Below are 15140 nucleotides of genomic sequence, written 5' to 3'. Positions count from 1 at the left end.
GTGGTATCTTATTGTGGTTTTGATTTGTATTTCTCTCATGATTAGTGATGAGAAATTTTTCATATGCTTGTTGGCCATGTGTATGTCTTCTTTTGAAAAGTGTCTGTTTGTGTCCTTTACCCACTTTTTAATGGGGTTGTTTTTTTTTTTTTTTTTGCCTGTAAATGTGTTTAAGTTCCTTATAGATTCTGGATATTATACCTTCATCAGACGCATAGTTTGCAAAAATTTTCTCCCATGCTATAGGTTGTCTGTTTACTCTGTTGATAGCGTTTTTTTGTTTGTTTGTTTTGTTGTTTTTTTTTTTTTTTTTTTTTTGCTGTGCAGAAGCTTTCTAGTTTAATTAGGTCCCATTTGTCAATTTTTGTTTACATTACAATTGCTTTTGGTGACTTTGTTATGAAATCTTTGCCTTGGCCCCTAGAATGGTATTTCCTAGGTTATTTTCCAGGGTTTTTACAGGTTTAGGTTTTACAGTTAAGTCTTTAATCCATGCTTAGTTGATTTTTGTATATGTTGAAAGGAAGGGTTCCAGTTTCAATCTTCTGCATATGGCTAGCCAGTTATTCCAGTTATTCCATAGAATATAAAATTCTTCCCCTATGCCTTGTTTTTGTCAACTTTGTCAAAGATCAGATGGTCGTAGGTATGCGGCTTTATTTCTGGGCTCTCTATTCTGTTCCACTGTTCTATGTGTCTGCTTTTGTACCAGTACCATGCTGTTTTGGTTACTGTAGCCTTGAAGTATAGTTTGAAGTTAGGTGATGTAATGCCTCCAGCTTTGTTCTTTTGCTTAGTATTGACTTGGCTATTTGGGCTCTTTTTTGGTTCCATATGAATTTTAAAACATTTTTCTAATTCTGTGAAGAATGTCATTGGTAGCATGATAAGAACAGCACTGAATCTGTAAAACGCTTTGGGCAGTATGGCTGTTTTAGTAATATTGATTCTTCCTATCCATGAGCATGGAATGGTTTTCTCTTTTGTTTGTGTCATCTCTGATTTCTTTGAGCAATGCTTTGTAATTCTTGTAAAGATATTTCACTTTCCTGGTTTGCTGCATTCCTAGTATCATACTCTTTTTGTGACTATTGTGAATGGGACTGCATTCTTGATTTGGCTCTCAGGTTGGATGTTGTTGGTGTATAGAAATGCTACTGATTTTTGTACATTAATTTTGTATCCTGAAACTTTGCTGAAGTTGTTTATCAGATCTAGGAGCTTTTGTGCAGAAATTGTGGCATTTTCTAGGTATAGAATCATATGGTCTACAAACAGAGACAGTTTGACTTCCTTTTTTCCTATTTGGATGTCTTTCATTTCTTTCTCTTCCCTAATTACTCTGGCTAGAACTTCCAGCACTATGTTGAATAGGAGTGATGAGAGATGGCATCCTTGTCTTCTTCTGGTCTTCAAGGGGAATTCTTCCAGCTTTTGCTTATACAGTATGATGTTGGCTGCGGGTTTGTCATATATGGCTTTTATCATTTTGAAGTATGTTCCTTGAAAGCCTAGTTTGTTGAGGGTTTTTAACATAAAGCAATGTTGAATTTTATTGAAAGCTTTTTCTGCATCTATTGAGATAATCATGTGATTTTTGTTTTTAGTTCTGTTTATGTAATGAATCCCATTTATTCATTTGTGTATGTTGAACCAACTTTGCATCCCAGGATAAAGTCTGCTTCATCAGAGTGGCTTAGATTTTTTGATGTGCTGCTGGGTTCAGTTTGCTAGTATTTTTATGTGCATGTTTGTCAAGGATATTGGCCTGAAGTTTTTCTTCATTGTGTTCTGCCAGGTTTTGGTATCAGGATGATTCTGGCATCACAGAATGAGTCAGGGAGGAGTCCCTCCTCCTGAACTTTTTGGAATCATTTCAGTAGGAATGGTACCAGCTCCTTTATACATCTGGTAGAATTTGGCTGTGATCTATTCTTGAGCTTTTTATTACAGATTCAATTTTGGAACTCATTACTGGTCTGTTCAATTATTCAATTTCTTCCTAGATCAGTCTTTGGAGGTTGTATGCACTCAGAAATTCATCTCTTTCTTCTAGTGTTTCTAGTCTGTGTGCATAGCGGTGTTCATAGTAGTCTCTGAAGGTTTCTTGTATTTCTGTCAGATCAGTGGCAATGTCCCCTTTGTCATTTATAATTGCGTTTATTTGGATCTTCTCTATTTTTTTTTCTTATGATTGTAGCTAGAAGTCTATGTATCTTAATTTTTTCAAATTACCAACTCCTCAACTCAGTCTTTTGTATGGCTTTCCACATCTCAATTTCCTTCAGTTCAGCTCTGATTTTGGTTATTTATTATCTTCTCCTCGCTTTGGGGTTGGTTTGCTCTTGTTTCTCTAATTCCTCTAGTTGTGTTGTTAGGTTGTTAATTTGAGCTCTTTCTTTTTCATGTGGGAGTTTAGTGCTATAAACTTCCCTGTTAACACTGCATTAGCTGTATCCCAGAGATTCTGGTATGTTGTATATTTGTTCTCATTAGTTTCAAAGAATTTCTTGATTTATCTCTTAATTTCATTATTTACCCAATAGTCATTCAGGATCAGGTTATTCAATTTCCATGTAATTGTATGGTTTTGAGAAATTTTCTTAGTATTGATTTCTATTTTTATTGCACTGTGGACTGAGTGTGGTTGGTATGATTTAACTATTTTAAATTTGCTGAGAATTGTTTTATGTGCCATGTTCATATGAGAAGATTCTGTTGTTTTGGGGTGAAAAGTTCTGTAGATTTCTATTAGGTCCATTTGATCAAGTGTAAAGTTCAGGTCCTGAATATCTTTGTTTATTTTCTGCCTCAATAGTCTAATACTGTCAGCAGGGCATTGAATTCTCTCACTATTATTGTGTCATTATCTAAGTCTCTTCCTAGGTCTTTAAGAACTTGCTTTATAAATCTGGGTGCTCCTGTGTTGGGTGTGTATATATTTACAATAGTTAGATCTTCTTGTTGAATTGAACCCTTTACCATTATGTAAAGCCCTTCTTTGTCTTTTTTGATCTTTGTTGGTTTTTAAAGTTGCTTTTTTCTGAAATTAGAATAGCAACCCCTGCTTTTTTCTGTTTCCTGTTTTCTTGGTAGATTTTTCTCCATCCTTTTCTTTGACCCTATGATGTCCTTGCAGTTAAGATGGGTCTCTTGAAGACAGTATGTTATTGGGTCTTATTTATCCAACTTGCCACTCTTTGCCTTTTAATAGGGGTAGACTGTTTACATTCAAGGTTAGTAGTGATATGTGTATATTTGATTCTGTCATTGTGTTGTTGGCCGGGTATTATTCAGACTTGATTGTGTAGTTGCTTTATAGTGTCAATGGTCTATGTATTTAAGTGTGTATTTTAATGATCAGTAGTAGTCTTTCCTTTTCTTATTTAGCACTCCCTTCAGGATCTCTTTTAAGGCAGGTTTGGTGGTAACAAATTCCCTCAGCATTTGCTTGTCCGAAAATGATCTTATTTCTCCTTTGCTTATGAAATCTAATTTGGCTGGATATGAAAATATTGGTTGGAATTTCTATTTTGTAAGAATTCTGAATATAGGCCCCAATCTCTTTTGGCTTGTAGGGTTTCTACTGAAAGGTCTGCTCTTAACCTGATAGGGTTTCCTTTGTAGAGCTGCCCCTTCTCTCTAGCTGCCTTTATTTTTCCTTTTTTCCAACTTGGAGAATCTGACGATTATGTGTCTTGGAAATGGTCATCTTGTAGTGTACCTCACAGGGGTTCTCTGTGTTTCCTGAATTTGAGTGTTGGCCTCTAGTAAAGTTGAAGAAATTTTCATGAACAATATCCTGAAATACGTTTTCTAAGTTGTTTTCTTTCTCTCCCTCTCTTTCAGGAAAACCAATGAATCATAGATCCATTCATATATCCACTTTGGTAAAGTCTCTATTTTAATATTTTGCCCATCTCTTTACAGGATTGTTTTGTTTTCTTATCAATGAATTTTGAGAGTTCTTTATATATTCTGGATACAAGTCCTTTATCAGATGTATGCTTTACAAATATTTTCTCCCAGTCTCTGGTTTATATTTGTATTCACTTAAAAGTGTCTTTATAGGAGCACGAATTTTTAATTTTGATGAAATCTAATACATAAATTTTCCTTCTATGGATAGTGCTTTTGGTGCCATATTGAAGAAATCTGCCTAAAGCAAGGTCACAAAAATATCTCTTATGTTTTTTCTCAAAGTTTTATAGTTTTAGGTTTTGCATTTAGGTCCATAATCCTTTTATGTGTTAAATGTTTGTGTATGTTGTAAGATGTGGCTTAAGAGTTTTTTGTTTGTTTTGCATATGATTGTTCAATTATGCTAGCACAATTTCTTTAAAAATTGGCTGTTTTTTCTCTGAATTATCTTTGCATATTTGTTGAAAATCAGTTGTCCATACGTATGTGGGTCTATTTCTGTACTCTCTCTTTCTTGTCTATCTTTAAACCAAAAAATACTGTTTTGATAACTGTGGCCTTATAATGAGCCTCTGAATAGGTAGTTTTAATGCTCCAACTTTGTTCTTCTTTTGTAAAATTGTTTACACTATTCTAGGACTTTTACATTTCCACAAGAATTGTAGAATCAGCTTGTCAATTTCTACAAGTAGTCTGCTAGGATTCTGATTAGGATTGTGTTGAATCTAGAGATCCATTTGGTGATATTTGACATCTTTATTAGGTCTTTCAATGGATGAACACAATGTATCTTCCATTTTTTAAGTCTTCTTTCTCTCTGCAGGGTTTTGAAGTTTTTTGTGTGCAGATCTTATACATTTTTCTCAGGTTTATATATCTTATTTTTATGCTATTTCTCAATGCCAGTATATATAATGAATTTGACTTTGTATACTAATCATGTATCCTGCAAACTTGCTAAAATAAGTTTTATTTAGTTTGTAAATTTTGTTTGATTTTTTTACATAGGTAATCATGTCATCGGAATACAAATGATATTTTACTTCTTCTTTTTCAATCTGGACATTTTTTATTTCTCTTTCTTACTTCAGTACACTGGCTGGAAACTCCAGTAAAATGTAGAATAGAATTGGTAAGGGAGAACATCCTTATTCTTGATCTTAGGGGAAAAGCGTTCAGTCTTTCACTATTAAGGACAAAATGTTTTTCATAGATGTTCTTTATTCAGGATGTTATCTTCTATTCTTAATTTGTTGAGACATATTTTAATCAGGAATGAATGTTGAATTCTGTAAAAAATTTTTTAAAATGTACTGAGAATATCTTCTGTTTTTCCTGTTTATGTTTAATATGGCAAATTGTAGATTGATTTTTGAATGTTAAACCAACCTTGCATTTCTCAAATTAATCTCTCTTGGTAATAATACAACATTCTCTGTATATTGACGGACTTGATTTGGAAATATTTTTTTAGAATGTTTGCATCTATATTTAAGAGGGCTATTGATTTCTAGTTTTTAAAAATTTTTTAAATATCTCCTTTCTAAATCTGTTTTCTTTTTTCTTTTCTTTTCTTTCTCTCGCTCTCTTTTTTTTTTTTTTTTTTTTTTTGACGGAGTTTTGCTCTTGTTGCCCAGGCTGGAGTGCAAAGACACGATCTTGGCTCACTGCAACCTCTGCCTCCCGGCTTCAAGCGATTCTCCTGCCTCAGCCTTCCAAGTAGCTGGGATTACAGGCACCTGCCACCACACCCAGCTAATTTTTGTATTTTTAGTAGAGACAAGGTTTCACCATGTTGGCCAGGTTGGTCTCAAACTCCTGACCTCAGGTGATCCGCCTGCCTCAGCCTCCCAAAGTGCTGGGATTACAGGCATGAGCCGTCGCACCCAGCCTGTTTTCTTATAATATCTTTGTCTTGCTTTGGTATCAGGGTAATACTGGCCTCATAGAATGTGTTAGGGAGGATTCCTTTCTCTACACTTTTCTGAAAAAGTTGGTGCATAACTGGTATTATTTCTTCCTTAAATGAAATTAAATTCCTTAAAAAGAAATAGCACAAGCCATCTGGGTCAAGACTATTCCTTGTAGGAAAGTTTTAAACTGTTTTTAACTACCAGTTAAATATCTTTAGTACATATAATGGTTATTCCAGTTATCCATTTCTTCTTGAGTAAGCTTTAGTAATTTGCGTATTTTAAGGAATTTGTCCATTTCATCTAAGTACTTAATTAACTTAAAGTTGTTTTTAATATTCCAGTTTACATTTTATATCTACAGAATCTGTAGTAATGTCATCTCTTCTATTCCTAGTATTGGTCATTTGTCTATTTTCCCCACTGGTTTTGAGAAATTATGATGTTTCTTGGGCTTAGAATGTATTGAGTGTAAATCTATGTCTTTATGGTTTTCAAAACATTTGGAAAATTTCTGATCATTATTTTCTCAGTATTTTTTTCTGTTTCTCCCTCTCACTCCTCCTCTTGGGGAACTCCAATTATTTGTCTAGTAGGTTGTCTGAAGCTTTCCCACAGCTCACTGATGCTCTTTTCATTTTTAACATTTCTCTTTCTACCTATGTTTCATATGGAATCATTTCCAATGTTATATTTTTAAGTTCACCAATCTTTTCTTCTGCCCTGTTTAATCTGTGTTAATTTCATCCAATGTATTTTTCACTTCAGACATTGTAGTTTTCATCTCTAGAAGTTTAATTTTGGTCTTTTTTATATTTTTACCTCTCTACTTAACTTTTTAACATATGGAATAAATTTATAACCATTTTAATGTCCTTTTCTCTAATTTTAATAACTGTGTCAGTTCAGATTCAATTTCCATTGGTTAAGTTTTCATCATGAGTTCTATTTTTGGTTCTTTTTTGCATGTCTACTAATCTTTGATGGCATTCTAGAAATTGTACATTTTACCTTATTGTGTACTGGATATTATTATATTCCTATAGTCTTGAGCTTTGTTCTGGGTGCAGTTAAATCACTTACAGTTTCATCATTTTAGGTCTTGCTTTTAAGATCTGTTAGGGAAGACAGGAGCAACATTTAATTCAGGACTGGTTATTCCATATTACTGTGGCAAGACTCTGAGTGCTTATGAATTAGGAGGTTTTCTGTTCTGACCATGCATATAGGCACTATTCCCAGCCCTGTGTGAGCACCAGGCATTGTTCCCTCTAATTTTCTCAAGTGGTTGTTTCCCTGACCTCTGGCAGTTTCACGTGTCATTGATTGGGTCTGCTGAATGCTTGTGTAGGGGCCTGCCACAAATCTATGAAGATCTCTGTCTCCGCAGCTTTATCTTTCCTGGTGGTTTATCCTAAATACTGTAGCCTCCATTGGTTCTCCAGACCTTCAACATCATCTCCTCATATCAGAAGTCTGCCAGGCTCTGCCTGTACTCCTCCCCATCTTCCTTCTCCAAGGTCTGGAAACTCAAGGAAATAAGTTGGTAGAATCACAGGGCTTACCTTGTTTGTTTCTCAACTCTCAGGGATCCTTGTCCTTCATTACCTGATGTCCAGTGTCCCGAAAACCATTGTTCCATATATTTTGTCTAGTCTGATTTGGCTACTTCAGGCAAGCCGGTGCTGTGGTTTGAATGTCCCCTCCAAAACCCATATTGAAACTCAAGTGCCATTGTAACAATGGTGACATGTGGGGCCTTTAAGAGGTTATTAGATCATGAGGGCTCTGCCCTAATGAATAGATTAGTGCCATGATCACAGGGGTGGATTAGTTATTGTGGGAATTCAGCCCCCTTTCTCTATCCATCTTGTGCTTTCACTTGCCCTTCTGCCTCCACCATAGGATAATAATGTAGCACAAAGGCCCTGGCCAGATGCCAGCCCCATGCTCTTGGACTTCCCAGCCTCCAGAACCATAAGCCAAATACATTTCTTTTATTTATACGTCATCCAGTGTGTGGTATTGTTAAGGCAACACTAAGTGGACTAAGACAGATGGTAAATCTGGTCCCCAAACTCCATCTTGCTTAGAAGTAGAAGGCTGTGTGTGTGTGTGTGTGTGTGTGTGTGTGTGTGTGTGTGTGTGTGGTGTTCTTTTCAGCTTCTTGAATGTGCTTAATTTATCATTTATTAAATTCACTTTTCATTTTTAATGAAGGCATTTAATGCTTAAATATTCATTTTCATAGGGCTTTAGCCAATTGTGACAGGTTTGAAATGTGATTTTCTCCTGTTCCTTACTTCTAAATTTTAAAAAATTAGCTTACATTTCCTGTATATTCTGATGGTTGCTTTTAAATTTCTATTGTGGGTGTTTTATTTTGTCTGCCCTTTTTGCTGTTTTTCTGCTGTTCATTTTTTTTGTACTGCATGTGATTAAAGAATAAAGTCCATTTGGTTTATTTTTTTCTGTAATTTATTGAGTTTTTTCCCTCAAAATTTCAATTAACTGACATTTTCCCTAAATATTACAAATAATGTGAGTTCCCTTGGTTGTGTATATACTTTCTCTCTCTCCCCATCTATTTATATAGATGCATGTATATATATGTGTGTGTATATGATTATGTTAATTTTGCTACTTACTATCTCTATATTATCACATGTCATGTTGAGTTTCTTGACATTTTAAAATAATTATTAGGGGTCGGGCACGGTGGCTCATGCCTGTAATCCCAGTACTTTGGGAGGCTGAGGTGGGCAGATCATGAGGTCAGGAGATCGAGACCATCCTGGCTAACACAGTGAAATCCCGTCTCTACTAAAAAAATACAAACAATTAGCCGGGCGTCGTGGCGGGCACCTGTAGTCCCAGCTACTCGGGAGGCTGAGGCAGGAGAATGGCGTGAACCCAGGAGGCGGAGCTTGCAGTGAGCCGAGACAGCACCACTGCACTCCAGCCTGGGTGACGGAGTAAGACTCTGTCTCAAAAAATAATAATAATAATTATTATTATTATTAGGTGTATTACCACACGTGGGGTTGCTCAGTGAGGGACTATCAGGGAACACTGTACACTGGTGATAAGCCATGGTTATAAGGTCATATTTTTCTATGATCTAAATTTATCTTTTCTGCCAAAATTAAACTTTGACATTTTCTCATGAACAATTAAGGCTTCTACAAAAAGTTATTTTTGGTATTCAAACTAGTAAATATTCATTGTAATTTTTATATAAGTATATGAATGATTTATACAATTCAAAGGCAAACTGTAGACCGCAAAAGATTGAAATAATAAATAAAACTACAGAAAAAGAAAACATTTTTCCTTTGCCATAATACTTACCTTAATGGGCCCAATGTGGGGAGATCCTTTAATTGTTGCAAGTATGACTTGAGACTCTTCTAACTGAGCTGATATGTCATCTATAGATGGAATTATGAAGATAGAGTAAATCTCTGTGTGGTGAAGAATTAAAGGCAAAGGAGTAGTGTTCCAAAAATCAATAATCTTAAATAGCATTTTTTCAAGAGCAGCTTCATTAGTTGCTGAGGTTGACATATCATTTATTTCATTTTCATACTGAAACATCTAAAATGAACAAAGTATTCTTTAGTATCCAGTATAGCAAATAATTCCTGATATGTCCAAAATGGAAATTTTAAATGCAAGTTTTGAAAGGCACATCAAAAATATTGAAGATCTAATTCCAGTTAGGTTTATATCCTTACCAGCAACTTCATGGTCTAACCTTCATGACATATCCCTTTGCACTTTAAAATCATCCTATTTCACGTTTTTCATAATCAGTGAAAATTTCCAACTTTCCTCTGATTCTAGCCAGTTATAAAGAGTATACACCTTCTGTATATGTGTAGATGGTATTATTTCCTTCAGCATTCTTTCCTCTGCCCTAATGCCAACTGCTTAATTACTTTGTGACACGCTTTTACTTATTGTTTTATCCCTGGTAGATAAGACTCTACCACCATTCCTATATGTCATCTCGATGGTGTTAAAGAATAATGCCCAATCCCTATGTTTTAGTAATGCAACTCAGTGGGGATTATGAACAGATATGACTAGTTTTCATCATTTCTCTTATATGCTTGCCAAAGATGAATTATTAAGGATGGTGGGATCAGTTACTTCTTATGGCCTTAAGCAACAGCTTTGGGAAAGAAGCCTACCTTTTGACATAGATTATTCAGCCAAAGGCAGATAAGGAACTATAGAACCATCAAAGTTCGTGCCTAATGCTAACATTCTGAGATTGCTAAAAATTCAATCCAGCAGACACTGATAATGTGTAAAGCAAAATTTCAGTGAAGTGAATCTAGCCTTGTCAAGTCTTTATGGTTAAAGTATGGGACCTGACTGACAAATAGTCAGATCTTCCAACTGACTTGATAATAGCTGGGTGGTTTCAGCTGAATCTTGATGATTGTAGTTAATTATCTAACTTTATTATAAAGCATATGGCTTTCCAAAGTGAAAATTATCAACCATAAAATGATAGTGTTCATCATATGCATACCATTGAGCTCTTGCTCTTAATTTACTTCATGAAATGCTTTTCATGTGGTAGGTTTTTCAGAGCCTGCACAACATCTTGGACAAAATAGTTGTCATATAACTGCAAGCCATCATACTTTATTCATTTAATAGAACTTCTAATATGACCTATCTTGGAAAGTTTTGCAGCATGACCACCACCTCTGGGTCAATCCTCCAAAATGCAAGTTTTAATAAATGAAGGCTGAGTTTCTGCGCCAAATCCTGTCCATTTTGGCATCTACATTATATTGGATACATTGTCAAATTTCTACAGGATGGCCAAAATCATCCAGGAACTCTTAGAGTTCACTTGAAATTACCAGCTGATTGCCTCCTTATCCCTTCTATTATTATAATTATCTTCAAGAAGAAGAAGGGGTTCCTCTAACTCCTCACTACAGTATTTCAAAGGCTGAAGACCTTGTTCACTTTTGTTCACATGTCAAACTGTCCTAATTGGGAACCTCTAAAAAATGCATGGGACTTCCTTTTTAAACTATCTATTCATGTTAGACATGTAATAGCTCATTGGAACCCTTTGAGTTATTACAGGCCACCACCCCATGTAGGCCACCAGCTGCTATCATATGTACCTATCTACCCTAACTTTTATAGCTTGCTGCTACATTTAGTCTGCAAAATTCTCACCCTTTATCTAACTTACCCAAGAATAGTTCCAATAACCCAAGACTGGATATAAAAATATCACTAAAATTGTGCTAGATTTTATGCATGCTGATTTGAAATAAATTCATCTGTTGGTATTTGCTCTTATGCTCTGACATCACCTAGCTATCTTGCTGAATTCCTCTTGGGCATGTATATCAGTTGGGCATGTATATCAGTTAGGAGGCTCTAAGATGAGATATTTAGATACGATGAGGATTATGAAAGAGAAGATTCAGAATTATTTCATGATTTTTAGTGTAAACAATTGGAAGAATGGAGCTACCATCAACTGAGATAAGAAACACAGAGGAAGAGCAGAATTTGGGAGATGGAGAATGAAAGGTGAATGTTTTTGACATGTTAATTTTGAGGTATTTCTTAGACATATAAGTAGAGATATTGAATAGGAGATTACATATGTGAATTTGGAGTTCACGAGAAAGTTGAGATTAGGGCTGGCGATATAAAATAATCTAAGTTTTACAAACAAAAGTTGTTTTTTAAAAAATTCTTTTTAAATTCTTAAAAAAGGTGCTCATGTTCCTCATTACAACAGATCATTTAGCAGAGAATTATAGGTATAAAATATGTTTTGATTACATTATATGTTGTCAGCCATGAAACATTAGACATAAATGAAGCTTATTGTAAGTTAGACATAAAAATAGAAAGTTTTTAATCATGGAAAAATTGAAAAAAGTATATTTTTATAATAAAACTTACATGGAAAGTCAAATAGTTGTTTATTATGCATTTTAAATATAATGTCAAGTTATATATATGTTAAGGTAGGGCAATTCTTACATGCTCTTAATATATTTTCATTTTACATATAATGAATACAATAGTTTTGATATTTCCATTCCTATAAAATGTATTCTGTATAAATAGCACTGTTAAATAATGAAACACTAATTTTATCTGTCATACATGAAAACCAGTATTACTGTTTAATCACCTAAATAATAATGGAATAATTAATAGCTTACCCAATATCTCCAATTAAATAATTTCCTATCACCTATTATTCTACAAATGTACTATTATTTTCCCAGGCACTCTTATAAACTTCCTTTCCTAATTCCTATCCATTGTATATTTACTCGCCTATTTAAAATTGGCCCATCTGGTATTTCAACCTATTTTTTTAAAAAACCATTTTTATTTACCTTGAGAGCTAGAAGATTCTCTACTTTACAGTTTTTATCAAGCGGAACTGACTTCCCAATAATCTCCTGGAGAGCCTCCCAATGCCTTGGCTTGAGACAGGGATTTCCCAGAGCTATAATGATAGGCAGCTCTTGTTTAAACTCTGTTACCACTTGCTTAAGATGTGTTACCATATCGCTTTTAGGTAAACCTATAAATAACAATGGGTCAGTAGGCTTATAATATGTTCATTATATTTTTTAACCAAAAAAATTGAGAAAATAAGATTTTTTTCTTTAAAATTTGTTAAAAACTACTTTATCAATTATTAAACTACATTAAAATAACATGAAGCAGTGAGCTTTATTAACATTACCCTTCCATGAGAATCAACTATACATTAAAATAAGAGAAATAGTTATAAGGACAGGTGACTAAAACCCAACTATCACAACCAAATCATCTTAGAAAATTTGATACCAGGAGTGGCCAGCTACCACAGGTTTCCCAGATTTTCACTGACATGATAAATATACAGACAAATGGGTACATGCGCATGTGCACACACACACACACACACACACACACCACAAACATTCAGAAGACTGTCACAGATTCTGGGTATTTATTTATTTAATTAACATCTTAACATAGCAAGATGAGGTCTTGCTATGTTGCCCAGGCTGGTCTCAAACTCCTGGCCTCGAATGATCCGCCCACCTCAGCCTCCCCAAGTGCTGTGATTACAGGCATGAGACACAGTACTCAGCTGGTTTGGGTTTTTTAAATTTTGGTAAATATGGAAGAACATCAAGGGAAAAAATATACCATCACTACAATTTCATTAAAAAATACTTTAACACCAAAATGTAGGAAATGTAGGTGACAGCTTTGCCACAGACCAGCACTAGTCTGTCCTCTGGCATTGACAAACCACTGAAGTACAGGATTCAAAACCTATGGAGTGGAAGGTTCAACTCTTACAACCTTTTTACTCAACTTATAAAATAAAGAGGAGGGGCCAAAGTTAGGGACTCAAGAGAACTGAAAACTTCACCCATACACTCAAAAAACCAATTTGTATATATGGGGCTTCTTTTATAAAGCCATATTAAATAGTAATATGTTTTTAAGACCTGATTAATAGAAGGTCAAGAGTGTAACTTTAGTTTTTGCCAGTCTAGACTTTGGCAAACAGCAAGATTTTATCTGGGGAACCATGGGTAAAAGAAGGTGTCGTCTAGTTGTTACTTTACTGTTCTCCGAAGCACGTATATAACAAAATATTGAGAGGGGATGCACACAATCAGTGTTATGTTAAAGCCTTGAGACTATGATTTGCCCCCAATTGTTCTCTTTTCTAAACTTTTGTGCTACTGTTATATTTCTTAAATAATTTTAAAACAAGTGAAATAAAGTGTTTGTCTGGCTTTTCTGGAGAAGAAATTTTAGCTTAAGGTATAGCTGAGTGATAGGGGAGGAGTCTTTAAAAAAAGCAAAGATATTCTCTTGGCCAGGTGAAACAAAATATCCCTTTTGGAAAGGATTTGATCTTATAGAAATGCTCTCACAAAAACAGTATCTTTGCATTGGCAAGATTTCAAATTTGATAATTAAAATAAAATAAACCTCTAAAAATTACTCTTTAAGCTGTTTACCCACTGCCCAAAAGATAATGAATGATTATGCAGATGGTCCTTTATCATCAAAACATCTCTGACCAGTGCCCTAAGAAGGGCCATACTCAGGGTGAGGTAGCTGGGGTTCTATGCAGGGAACCAACTTTTAAAGGACATAAAAATTGTTAATTTCTTAACAAAACTTTTTTGACAAGGACTTAATCTCTTTTTTGCCTGAGTGAAATTCCTACCTATACTCCTGTATTGTAGCTCTAGCCATAATGGTCAACCTGAGAATGGGTAAAGAAACAAGCCAAGGACAATGCTCTTGATGTCCAAAGGCCATTTGGTATATAGACCTAGGTGGGAAAATTTGAGAAACACATTTTTACCTTTTTCTAGTACCGAGATTATGTGCATCAGTTTTGAAACATTTCTCTGTACTGATTCTACATCAATACTTTGAAGAGAACTATTCCTCCATTCCCAAGAGGCTCGCTTCCACTCCTCTTGTGCTTCCCATAGTTTTTTCCTCAAAGTCAAGTCACCTTCAATGTCAGAGATCTCTGAAAGCACAATCTGTGTAATTTCTTCCACATTAACAGAATGCATATGAGATTGAGAATCACTGAAACAATCCTGATAATGTGAATATGCTTTAGCTTTGTTAGTTAAACTTGCAGCTTCCCCTGAGAGAGTCTGGATCATTTCCATTGCTGTTGACACTTGAGTACCAGCACATAACAGAAGAGGAGTTCTTATCTAAAAAATAAGAGTAGGACTTTCTAAGAGAAATCAGTATGTCTAGAACGTACTGTTTTACTGGCAGTGAAAGCATTTTAGTATATAATCTAGGCTTTTACCTGATAAGTGAGTGAAACTGGAACTATCATTACCATTTGGCCCAGACAAAGATAAAGATTGGCCCAGAAAGATTTCAGGGGGTTTTAGTCCCTTTTATGCCATGAGCCCATTTGGCAGTCTCTTGAAGCCTATGGTAAAAGTCACCAGCCATGCTGCTGTTTGTTGCCTACATTCATTCATAGTTGAGAAAATGCTAAGTTCCAGTTAGAAATTAGTGAAAATAGAAATGTAATTTTACTTCCCTTTCAGGTTCACAAATCACCAAAATTCTGTCTGTGAATTCCAGTTGAAGAATACTTGTATTGGCCGGTCACGGTGGCTCAAGCCTGTAATGCCAGCACTTTGGGGGGCTGAGGCGAGTGGATCACGAGGTCAGGAGATCGAGACCATCTTGGCTAACACGGTGAAACCTCGTCTCTACTAAAAATACAAAAAATTAGCC

At 35.0% G+C, this 15140-nt stretch overlaps 1 protein-coding gene across 23 annotated transcripts in view; it reads right to left on the bottom strand.

Annotated features, from left to right (window-relative positions):
• The window catches only part of DNAH14 (dynein axonemal heavy chain 14), a 469633-nt gene that overhangs the window by 304312 nt on the left and 150181 nt on the right, over nucleotides 1-15140 (bottom strand). For 22 of the 23 annotated variants that reach the window (XM_011544062.3, XM_011544067.3, XM_017000296.2 and 19 more), the window contains 3 exons: nucleotides 14227-14596; nucleotides 12236-12426; nucleotides 9186-9431 (listed from right to left, as the gene is read on the bottom strand). In XM_011544062.3, the coding sequence (XP_011542364.1) occupies nucleotides 9186-9431; nucleotides 12236-12426; nucleotides 14227-14596 (807 nt within the window). The remainder of the gene's footprint in view (nucleotides 1-9185; nucleotides 9432-12235; nucleotides 12427-14226; nucleotides 14597-15140) is intronic. The other variant, XM_011544076.2, reaches the window with a different exon arrangement.

The sequence above is a fragment of the Homo sapiens genome, chromosome 1, assembly GCF_000001405.40.
Source record: "Homo sapiens chromosome 1, GRCh38.p14 Primary Assembly".
NCBI classification, from domain to species: domain Eukaryota; kingdom Metazoa; phylum Chordata; class Mammalia; order Primates; family Hominidae; genus Homo; species Homo sapiens.
This window is presented reverse-complemented; position numbering and strand designations above follow the sequence as displayed.